The sequence below is a fragment of the Homo sapiens genome, chromosome 11 (assembly GCF_000001405.40).
Source record: "Homo sapiens chromosome 11, GRCh38.p14 Primary Assembly".
Lineage (NCBI taxonomy): Eukaryota > Metazoa > Chordata > Mammalia > Primates > Hominidae > Homo > Homo sapiens.
The window spans coordinates 84,315,506-84,327,837 of NC_000011.10; the positions used below are offsets into that span (position 1 = coordinate 84,315,506).

A 12,332-nucleotide genomic window follows, 5' to 3' on the forward strand; every position below is an offset into this window, starting at 1 on the left:
ATTTAAATGAATGTATTTGTTAAAGAGTATATACAGTGTTCACAACTGTTAAGACTTTTTATTCAGTTTGGAATTCATGTTAACTTTAAATAATAACTGCATTTCTAAATGTCAACTTCTATTTTAAGCCAAACCAGTTTAATAATAAAATGGTAATGTATTTTTTATTTAAATCAGGAGGCTGAGATGCTCTATCTCTCTAAGCAAAGCTTATAATTCCATGCAAATCAATCAAAGGCCATATATATGGCTATGCATATGTAACTATATTATTAAGACCAGTGATAAATGACATTCTTGGAAGTACTTTTTAAAAACTATTATTAAAATTAAAATATTCTCTGCACCTGTCACCATAACATTTTATTTATGATCAATATCTACTTCTCCACTATGCTAAAATCATATTAAAATTGAGATTGAATTTTTCTGCAAATACAGCTTTTCTTCAATACATATTAAACAGTCATTGTTCTGTATGACAGTGACTACAGGTGTATTTTATTTATATTTTACAGCATTTGCAGGAAGTTATTTTCTCTCCTTTAAATGAAGAGAGAAAAAAATGAGCCAATTTTATTTCTGATAAAATGATAGTAGTCTGGGGGCTAGAATAACCTAGGAATCAAATTAAAGGTATCTGCACATCTGCTTTAGAAATGCGTTATAGAAGAAAGAGAGCTATAGATGTTGATATAAACTTATTGCTTCTCCATGAATAAATTAAGTGCTTAATTCTTTTATTCTGAGTTTAACCATCCTCTGTTTTGCTCATAATTATTCCTTTTCTTTGTAAAATTAATTATTTAGTGTAAATAATTGTTCTTCTCCATAACTGAAAAGGCATACAGTATTATAAGAGTAAAATTAGAATAGCATACTTCAAATCACTGTTTTCTATAGCTAAAGAAACAAATGTTCTTTTGCCTTTAAAGAGATGGAAAGTTTAGTTAAAATTTATTTTTTCTCTGCTCTTTAAAAAAATAATAATAAACAGGCAGGACAGAACAAAAGTTAAAAATGATTAGAAGTAAAAGGGCTGCTAAAAGACTATGATAAAAAATAATATAACCTGAGGACTAGAGAAGTTGAAGAAAAGTCAGTGAAATAAACTGAGCACGGCATCCCTAGACTTTCACAGGCCACCAGAGGTATGAGCCCACAAACATGTGTGAAAATGACAGGTTTTTCTTGGCCTAATATTTTACATACAGGCATACCCGTGGTACTCTGCAAAGTTTCCAAGCCATTCTAACCTTAAACAACTTGCTCTCACTTTCTTCAGACACTCAAGGGAAAGTCATAAGGAAAAGGCTCACCTGTGCTGGGCTGAACCAACCATGTGGGCAGGTACAATGCTCCCCACAAGTCCCTTTGCCCTTGGTGCTCGTCTTGTGGGGGCTTTTCCGCACACTGTCCCACAAGGTCCTGTTGAAGCTGGACCCCCCGGTCCTGTTTGAAGCTGGGCCCCCTGGTCCTGAGGAGGGCATGGTCTGAGAACTGTACCCGAGCCCCTGACAGTTCCTCTGCCAGCCACAAGCACAGTGGGCATCCCTGATCAGGGTGGGCGCACTCCTGACGGCATCCATCCCATCGGACCCCCGGCTGCAGCTGTGTTGCTTGGTGAGGTATGCATTCATACTGCACTGATGCCTACTCTTTCCTTTGGTCAGCTCTGCACAGAAATGTCTCCTCCCTCACACCCCTTTCTTCCAGCCAGTTGTAAAAGTCTTTTTTCCACCGTGGATTCCTCAGTATCTTTGACAGCTGCTATAAGCAGTGCATCGTGGGAGCAGTGGGAGCAGCGACAGCAGCTCCGCACAGCATTATCTGCGGGCTGGTAGCTCTTTGTCAATAGATGACTCAACTCACAGAGCAACTTGACAGTATCCCTGCTCTAGGCAGAAGCAATCAATGCTCCACACAGCTGGGCTACAAGACTGTACACTGTGTTACAAACCCTTTTTGGATGGAGCCCTACAGTAAAGAATAACTCTTTGCTGTTTGGCATTCCGGCTTTTCCCTTTCCTTGCCGATCCCCACACAAAATACAAACCTTAAGAAAGAGAACTTATTATGAGATTCTTATGAGATTAGTAGGACCCTTCTTTCCAGAAAGGATGCATCTAGGCTTAAACTTTATAGCATAAGCAATAAAAAATGATGGGAAAGTTAACCTGTAAAGGAATTTTCAACATTTATAAGAATCACTTATCTAGAGAGAGATTTGCCAAGACACAGACCCAGTCATGAAGTAACTATATAAGATCATCAATATTAACTCTGAAGAACATAAATTCATTTGGAAAAATCATTGAGGTCACACCATTATACTAGAGTCTCTTAAAATTTGGAAGTTTGTTTTAAATCACGATTATGCATTTTAGTCCAAACATATATTCTTTATGCTATACACGATTATTAATTCTTTCTTATTCAAAGCAAGGCAGTTTTCAAGGTTTAAAACTGATGGGTTGGGCTTATTTTAAAACAGTATTTTTCCTTACCCCAAATTATTCTGAGGGTTTCCTTTCAAATACTTTACCATAACAAATACATTCACCACAAATAGAGTCTGCGTTTTAAAGTGAAAGATGCATCCAACTCTGCCATACAGTATTTTGGTTTCCAAAGACAGAATTTTCAAATTCTTTCACTGAAAAATGAGCTAATTTTTTCTAACTTAAAGCAATTGCCTTCCAAAGAGGATTTTTGTGTTAAATTTTAGCATGCTTGCTGAATCCATACATAGTATTTTCAGTGAAGTGAAAGGCTAATTGCCATAACATTAATAATTTTTATTCTGTTTGAAACTTTCCACATCCATTTCCAAAATGTCTATCCTTATCACACATTACTAAGGAAATAATTTTGGTTTAAGTGTGCAGCCAGTTACCATCCATGCAGTACCTAACAAAGATTATATAATCCTATGAAATAATTACTTTATCTGTAGACCATCAGATGCCATCAAATCTACCTTCTCAGTGGATTGACCAGGTGCTGGGGCAGTATAGGCCTGATTTTTGCCTGAGCTGGCAAGGTGCTTATTGCAAGGGCTGAGATCATAGCAAGTTCTACATTTGAACACTAAGACTCCCTGGATAAATCACTGTTAGACTTAAAAATCTTGAAAGTAAGGAGTAGGATCTTCTTTGTCCATGTATCTCCATATAAGGGTACTTTTCCAAATTCTGCACAAGGGGCTGATATTAGCATTGTGCCCATCACAGAAGGTATTCAAAACACGTTTGTTCAATAATAATGGCCAGATATGTAAGTTTAGAGGGCAGGTTCTGGTCTATGTTAATGGCCATTTTTCTCTAAGCACCTTTCACACCGTCCACCACAAAACAGGCAGTAAATACATACATATGTTTGACGGATGAATGGATGGTTGGGTGGAAGTATAAATGGAAGGAAAAAATAGAGAAATGAAGGAGTTGATACACATTTTTAAAATAATAATATTTAATTCAGCAATGTTCTAGAAACATAAACTATTCCTTTAAAGTTAAATTTAGTTCTGGTGTTGAGGTATTCTTGTTAAGGAAATTTGTCAAAAATATATGAAACTTGAACTGTTGGGCAGAAATAACAAAGGCATTAATAGTTTTTGCCTTCTTAAAGAAGATCAAGAAGTTAAAATCAATACCTGAAGACAGTGACGAAAAGGGAGAAAATTATTTCTCTCTCTCTCTCTTTCCCTCCCTCCCCCCTTTTTATTTTAGATCAATAGATTATACCTGAAAGAACTGTTGGGTCGAAGAAAACCCTAGAGAACTTTAGGCTTTTCTGGTATAACCATGATGCATGGCTGTACAGTAGGATTTGATGCAATATGCCAATGCCATCACTCTCAAATGAGAATGTCGGAAAGTGATAAGTTTGGCTGTCTCCAATCTTATCTAACCATAGATGCTTCTCTAGTTTTTTAGGCAGATATCATTGCACAAGGGCCCATTGGCATCTTCAGGGAACACATGTCCGGTTCTCATCCATTTGCCTCTCAAGTATAAGAATCAATCTACATAGACATAAGTCAGTGTGCATCCATCACAACTTTGTAATGGTGTGTGCAGCTTGCAGCAAGGCAGAAACAATTTTCTGGCTTGACACTACTCAAGATATTACAAATCTTCACAGAGACTTAAATCTGTTATGAATGGGTTGTTCAGAATGCGCAATTTCTTCCCATCACAAGGGCCACAGAATTTCTATTTTAATAACTTAGCATGTCATTTCTTTATAGTTAAATAGCATCCATTGTATAACTAATGTTATTTTGCTTAAAAGATCTTTAAGGCTAAAGCAAACTTTTATTAAGCTTACTAAAAGACTATATTGAAATCACTCCTTCAGTTTAGTACATGTAAAGTAATTCCATACTCCTATCTTTCCCTCCCCACAAACAAGACTTTTCTTTTCAAACATGACATTTGGCTTTCTGAGGACAGCCCACTTAAACAGATAAATATGTTCAACTAGCCCTCTGTACTATAAGACAGACTCACTAATTAATGGTAATCCAATTTGATCAACTATAATTGGACAATTGTAATGACCATGAGATGACATGAAATTCTGGCCAAACAAGAATTAGCGATGCACAAGTACACATCCTACTTATCACTGTGATTTAACATGGGCAGATGGTGCACAGAGCAATGCCTAGATGAGATATAACTTATTGAACTCTCTTTGACCTGGCACTGGCTTCATAGAACAATCACTAGTTTCAAAGCAAGCGTTTAAGACTAATATCCTAGCTTGATTTAATAAAAAATAGCAAAAATGGATAAATATATTGTACTGCACTAAAACTTGATACAGAATCTTTTTCCAGATAAAATTATGCATATGGGAAATGAAAATATTAATAATAAAAGGAGAGCTAAGTGATTGCTAAAGAGTGACTGGTGACAGACATCCTTATCAGCCACAAGTAATACGCCAAATAATCATAAAATGCTTTGAAAAGTGTGTACAGTCTATTCCTATGATTGCAAAAACTAGAGATTTATAAATGCTAAGAAATCCGCATTCTTTTACATCTAATAACCTTTGGCCTAGATAATCTCCAGATCCAAGCACATTTCCTTCAAAATAAGAAAGCCAGGAATACGTAAAGTATTTTAGGCTCTAAAATTATTTCCAAAATATTTAAACTAATTTAGTCATAACTTTTGTGAGACAAAAACAAGCAGGAATTTAGTGTGGAAGAAAACATGCTTAATTGATGCAAAGATTTAACCAAAACAGAGGATTTAATAGAAGGTAGAAAAAACTTTTAAAATGTCCCGAATTGTAACTAGCATAGTTGGATTTGGGTGAGTGTTGATGGGGAAGGGGTTAATCTGAATTAATTACAAGTCTAAATTATAAAATTGTATTCAGGAAATGTAAATGTATTATATTCTAAGGTACTTAGTATCACAAATACAGAAATCAGAACATTAATTATGTAATATTTCTTAAAGATTCTGAAAGAAACACTAGTAAAAAGGTAATAATCACTTAAAATTTGCATATTTTTGCAATTGAATCTAAGTGCTAAACTATACTTCTACCAGAAATTTGTTCTCATCCTTCAAGATTAAACTAATGTCACTTCTGTAAGCTTTTCAGATCCCCTTGGCAAATTAAGTCATGCTCTACAGTATTTGTATACTTGTCTGTGTAAATATCTTTAACATTTATCTATTTCTTTCAATCACCATGATGACCACTGTGATGTCTAACCCAGCATCATTTCTGTGTAGAACTGGTGAAACAGCTTTCTAACTGGTCTCTCGCATACACCCTTGCTCTAATTCTCTCTCACACAGCACCCAGAGTAATTCCTAAAATGCAATTATGATCAGGTCCTTTATGCTTGATACCTGTCAGTTAAACGTCATTTTCTGGGACTCTTTATCCTCATTGATACTATAATCTTTAAAGTAGTTTGGATGGTCTTTAATCATGACCCATGTGATCTGGCCTCTGTGGCTTTTTACCAGTCTTGTCTGTGCCTCACACTCTTGCTCTGTCCTCCAACCATACAGGCCTTGAATACTTGAGCTCAATCCTACCTTGTGGCCATGGAGGATGTTCTTTTCCCCACTTCATACTTTCACATAATTAATTCCTACTCACCCTTCTGTAGGCTGCATCAAGAGGCAACTCCCCCAAAGCCACCGTAAATAAACATACAGTATAATCTAAAAAGAAGTGGGATTACTATGCAACACAGCTCCAAAATAAAGCTTCTAGTCTTTACTTCCAACCAGATTGCCATCCAGATCTCTTTTACTCAGAAATTCTGGTGTCTTCCCTGTCCTTTGGAGTTCAACTTGCATATCATCACCTCCTCAAGAAAGCATTCCCTGAATACCGGGTCACCTTCTAAGATAGCTCATGTCATCTTTCCATTAAACACTCATTTAGCACCTGTGCTTCTCTATTACAACACTTAACAAAATTGTATTTAAAACAAGAATTACACTATAACTTAGTTTGTACCCTTTTCCCCAAACAGAAAGTAAGTGGTTGCTAGTAGGGCAATGAAAGAGCTCTCTTATTTGCAACTGCATCCTTTGAACTCAGCACAAAGTGTTTAACCCTAATTGAAATAAATCAAACATGGAAGAAGACAAAAGTATCTTTCAATGATCACATCAATATAGGTATTCTGGTCTGTGTTCTACTTCTCAGTGTAAAATCAATAAATAAGCATTTTGATTTTAAAAACAAAATGGCAATGTGTTCCTACAGTCAGCACTTTAGTGGAACATTTAGTATGGATTAGTGGCATAAGTGTATGAACTCATTTTTCAAAGAAATTTCCTAGTGGTCTTAGCACTGAAGCTGAAGCAGCTTCTGTTTATTTTAGCAAGATATTAATTCATAAAAGCTGCACTTCCTGGCAGCTGTGCATTTCTCTCAAGCTTTTTCAAGAGTTCTCCCTTTATAGCTAGATAGTACAAAAGAGGGAGCAGTTCCCTAAGTCAAAAGCCAGTTAGTGGTAAAACATGAAGAGAATCCTAAACTCCAAAGTCATATTAATTTTAAAATAATATAAGCCAAAAGTCATAATAATTTCACAAGAATTTTTTTTTTTTTGAGACAGTCTTATTCTGTTGCCCAGGCTGGAGTACAGTGGCAAAATCTCAGCTCACTGCAACCTCCACATCCCAGGTTCTGGCAATTCTCTTGCCTCAGCATCCCGAGTAGCTGGAATTACAGGCATGCACCACTACACCCAGCTAATTTGTGTATTTGTAGCAGAGACAGGGTTTCACCATGTTGGCCAGGCTGGTCTCGAACTCCTGATCTCAAGTGATCTACCTGTCTTGGCCTCCCAAAGTGCTGAGATTACAGGAGTGAGCCACCACGCCCAGCCGATAATTTCAGAAGATAATAAAAGTGTGCTTCAAAGAATATGAAGGCATGTAAATATCTCCTCTAATTCCCTCGCAATCAAGTCACAAATTTAAAAAATATTAAACAGAATTATTATCCATAGCAAGTATTTTCTTTAGTTTTTTTTTTAAGTTGTGGTAAAAAACACAAAACATAAGATCTACTCTCTTAAATTTTTAAGTGTCCAATATAGTGCTTTTAACTATAAGCACAAGGTTGTAAAGCAGATCTCTACCACTTTTTCACCATGCATGATTAAAAGTCTACACCCATTGAACAACAAAACCCCATTTCCTCCTCCCCCAGCCCCTAACAACCACCATTCCACTTTCTATTTCTTTGAGTTTGACTAGTTCAGATACTTCTTATAAGCAGCATAATACCATATTTGTCCTTCTATAGACTATTCCACTTAGCATATTGTCTTTAGGATTCACCCTTGTTGTAGCATATGATAGGATTTCCTTCTTTTTTATGGTTGAATAATATTCTGTTGTATGTATATAGCATATTTTGTTTATCCATTCATTCATCAATGGACATTTAGGTTGTTTCTACCTCTTGGCTATTGTGAATAATGCTCAATGAACATGAGAGTACAAATCTATATTTCAGATCTTGATTTCAATTCTTTTGAATAAACACTCAAAAGTGGTATTGTTGAATTATATGGTAGCTCTATTTTTCATTTTTTGGGAACCTGCATACTGTTTCCCATAGCAACCGTACCATTTTACATTCCCCAAAACAATGCACAGGACTTCCAATTTCTCCACATCCTCAACAACATTTTTTTTGCTTTCTTTTTTCCTTTTTTTTTTTTTTTTTTTTGATAATGGCCATTCTAACAGGTGTGAGGTGATACCTCATTGTGATTTAAATTCACGTTTCCAAGACGATTAGTGAGGTTGAGCATTTTTTCATATACCAAATGGCTATTTGTGTATCTTCTTTGGAAAAATATCATTCAGGTCCTTTCCCATTTTTAATCAGATTATTTGTTTTTTGGCTATTGAGTTGTAGGAGTACCTTATCTATTTTGGATATTAAGCCCTTATCAAGTATATACTTCGCAAATATTTTATCCCATTGTGTAGGTTACCTTTTCACTCTCTTTATCGTTTCTTTTGCTCTGTAGAAGTGTTTTAGTCTGAGGTAGTACCACTTGTCTATTTTTGTTTCTGTTTCCTGTGCATTTGTTGTCATATCCAAGAAATCGCAGTAAAGACCAGTGTTGTATAGGATTTTCTTTATATTTTTATCCAGGAGTTTTATAGTTTTAGGTCTTATCTTCAGGTCTTTAGTTTATTTTGAGTTGATTTTTGTGGGTGGTATAAGATAATTTAATTCTTTTGCATATGATTATTCTGTTTCCCAACATTATTTGTTAAAAGAGACTCTTCTTTCCCCATGTGTAGTCTTGGCACCTCTGTAAAAGATCATTTGATTTTTATCTGTGTGGGTTTATTTCTGGGCTCTCTATTCTGTTTCATTAATTTGTATGTCCAGCTTAGTGCCATAGTGTCTTGATTACTGTAGCTTTGTAATATATTTTTAAATCAGGAGGTATCAAGTTTTCAGATTTACTCTTCTTTCTCATGATTGTTTTGGCTATTTGGGGTCCTTTGTGGTTCCATATGATTTTTTTTAAATTTTCCTGTAACAAATACCATCGAGATTTTGATAGTGGTTACATTGAATGTGTAACTTACTTTGAGTAATATGGACATTTTAACAATATTATCTTTCAATCCATGCACATTTACATTTATTTGTGTCTTTAATTCCTTTCAGCAATATTTGGTAGTTTTTAGTGAACAAATCATTCTTCTGTTAAGTGTGTTCCTCAATATTTTATTCTTTTTGATAGTATTGTAAATGGGATTGCTTTCTTAATTTCCTTTCATATATTTTACTGTTAGTGTATAGAAACACAACTAATTTTTGTATATTGATTTTGTATCCTATAATTTTGTTGAATTTTTAAATTAAGTTCCAGATTTTTTGTGTGTGCAATCTTCAGAATTTTCTACCTATAAGATCATATTATCTGTGAACAAATATAATTTTACTTCTTCCTTTCCAATTGAGGTTTCTTTTCTTTTTCTTGCCTACCTACTCTGGCTGTTACTTCCAGTACTATGTTGAGTAGAATGGTGAGAGTGAACATCCTTGTTCCTAATTTTAGAGGAAAAGCTTTCAGTTTTTCACCATTGAGTATGGTGTTTAGCTTAGGACTTTTCATATCTGATTTTTATATTGTAAGGTAATTTTCTTCTATTCCTAATTTGTTGAGGTTTTTTTTAAATTTAATTATTATACTTTAAGTTCTAGGGCACATGTGCACAAGGTGAAGGTTTTTTACATAGGTATACGTGTGCCATGTTGGTTTGCTGCACCCATCAACTCGTCATTTACATTAGGTATTTCTCTAATGCTATTCCTCCCCCAACCCCCTCACCCTCCAATAGGCCCTGGTATGTGATGTTCCCCTTTCTGTGTCCATGTGTTCTCTTTGTTCAACTCCCACTTATTTTTTTGAAATGAAATAAATGTGTCAATTTTGTCAACTGCTTTTTCTGCATCTATTGATATAATTGCATTATTTTTATATTTCATTCTTTTAATGTGATTTATCCAATTGATTAAATTTCGTATGTTGAACCATTCTTGCATCTCAGAAATAAATTCCATTTGGCCATGGTATATGATCTTTTCAATGTGCTGTTAAATTTCATTTGCTATTATTTTGTTGAGAATTTTTGCATCTATATTCATTGACGATATTGGTGTGCAGTAGTATTTCTGTGATTTTTTTTCTAGCTTTAGCATCAGGGTAATGCTAGCCTTATAAAATGAGTTTTGAATTGTTCCTTCCTCTTCAATATTTTGGAAGAGTTTGAGAAAGATTGCCATTAATTATTCTTTAAGTGTTTGGTAGAATTTACCAGTGAAGCAATCTGGTCCTAGGCTTTCCTTTGTGGGGAAGCTTTTGATTACTAATTTAATCTGCTTATTGTTTATAGGTCTATATAAATTTTTTATTTATGATTCAGTTTTGGAAGGTTATATGTTTCTAGGAATTTGTTCATTTCATCTAGGTTGTCTAACTTTTCATACAAGTGTTCCCAGTATTCTTATAGTCCTTTTTATTTCCATATAACCAGTAGTAACATAACTTCTTTCATTTTAAAAAATTTTAGCTATTTGAGCCTTCTCTTTTTTTATTGGTTAATCTAGCTAAAGCTTTACCAATTTTGTTGATGTTTTAAAATATGTAACTCTTAGTTTCAATGATTTTTTTCTTTTAATTTTATTCTTTATTTTTTTCTCTAATTATTTTCTTCCTTCTGCTAACTTTGTGCTTAGTTTGTCTTCCTTTTTCCAGTTTCTTGAAATGTAGAATTAGGTTGTTTATTTGAGATCTTTCTTCCTTTTAAATGGAAGTGTATATTAATACAAACTTTACTTTTAGTACTGTTTTTATGGTATCCCATAAGTTTTGGTATGCTGTGCTTTTATTTCCATTTGTCTCAAGACATTTTCTGATTTCCGTTTTGATTTCTTCTTTGACCTATTGGTTAAGAGTGAGTTGTTTAATTTCCTCATGTGTAAATTTTCCAATTTCTCTTCAGCCATTAATTTCTAGTTTTATTTCATTGTAGTTGGAAAATATATTTGGCATGATTCCATCTTCTTAAATTGGTTAAGAGTTGTTTTGAGACCTAATATGTCATCTATCCTGGAAAATGTTCCATGTGCGCTTCAGAATAATGCATATTCTCCTGCTGTTAGCTGGCATGTTCTGTATATGTTAGGTCCTTTTCATCTATAATGTCATTCAAGTCCTCTGTTTCCTTATCAATCCTCTGTCTGGATACTCTGTCCATTATTGAAAGAAGAGTATTACAATCCCCTAATAATATTGACTTGCTCTGTATTTTTCTTTAATTCTATCAATGTCTGTTTTATATATTTGGGTGCTCTGATGTTAGGTGAATATATATTTAACACTGTTATATTTTCCTGAATTGACCCTTCTATCATTATATAATATCCTTCTTTATATTTTTTAACATTTTTTACCTATAGTTTATTACCATTTTCCTGGATTATATTTTTCTATCCTTTCACTTTCAGACTTTCAGCCAATGTATGTCACTAAGTTAATGTAAGTCTTATAGACAACATATAATGAGAATCTTTTTTTTTTTTTTTTTTTTTTGAGATGGAGTCTCTCTCTGTCACCCAGACTGGAGTGCGGTGGTGCAATCTCGGCTCACTTCAACCTCTGCCTCCTGGTAGCAGGGATTACAGGCACACACCACCATGCCCGGCTAATTTTTGTATTTTAAGTAGAGACAGGTTTCACCATGTTGGCCAGGCAGGTCTCGAACTCCTGACTTCATGTGATCCACCCGCCTTGGCCTCCCAAAGTGCTGGGATTGCAGTTGTGAGACACCGTGCCCAGCTGAGAATCTTATTTTTAAAATCCACTTAGCTATTCTATCTTTTGATTGCAAAGTTTAATCCATTTACATTTAAAGTAATTATATATTGATAAGGAAGGACTTATTATAGCCATTTTGTTAATAGTTTTCTGTTTTGAATCTTTTTTGTCCCTGTTTTTCTCTCTTGTTGCTTTTGATTTCTTTCTCATTTTCTTTTGCATATCTTCTATAGCTATAGTTTTGTGGTTACCATGAAGCTTACATAAGACATCTTGCAGTTATAATAATCTATTTTAAGCTGATAATAACTTAACTTCAATTGCATACAAATACTCTACTCTTTTACTCTTCCCCCCACATAAGAACTTTATGTTTTTGATTTTACAAATTACGTCTTTTTATATTATGTGTCCATTAACTTATTTTTTACTTATGGTTATTTTTATACTTTTGTCTTTTAAGTTCCTTAGTTCTTAA

At 34.3% G+C, this 12,332-nt stretch overlaps 1 protein-coding gene across 46 annotated transcripts in view; it reads right to left on the minus strand.

Annotated features, from left to right (window-relative positions):
- Positions 1-12,332, minus strand: part of DLG2 (discs large MAGUK scaffold protein 2) — a 2,173,362-nt gene that overhangs the window by 860,494 nt on the left and 1,300,536 nt on the right. For 8 of the 46 annotated variants that reach the window (NM_001377971.1, NM_001377970.1, XM_017017273.3 and 5 more), the window contains exon 1: positions 1,320-1,832. The exons of the other annotated variants lie outside the window; for them this stretch is intronic. In NM_001377971.1, the coding sequence (NP_001364900.1) occupies positions 1,320-1,640 (321 nt within the window). In that variant the 5' untranslated portion in view covers positions 1,641-1,832. Of the gene's footprint in view, positions 1-1,319; positions 1,833-12,332 lie in introns of those variants that run through there. 46 annotated transcript variants of the gene reach the window in all.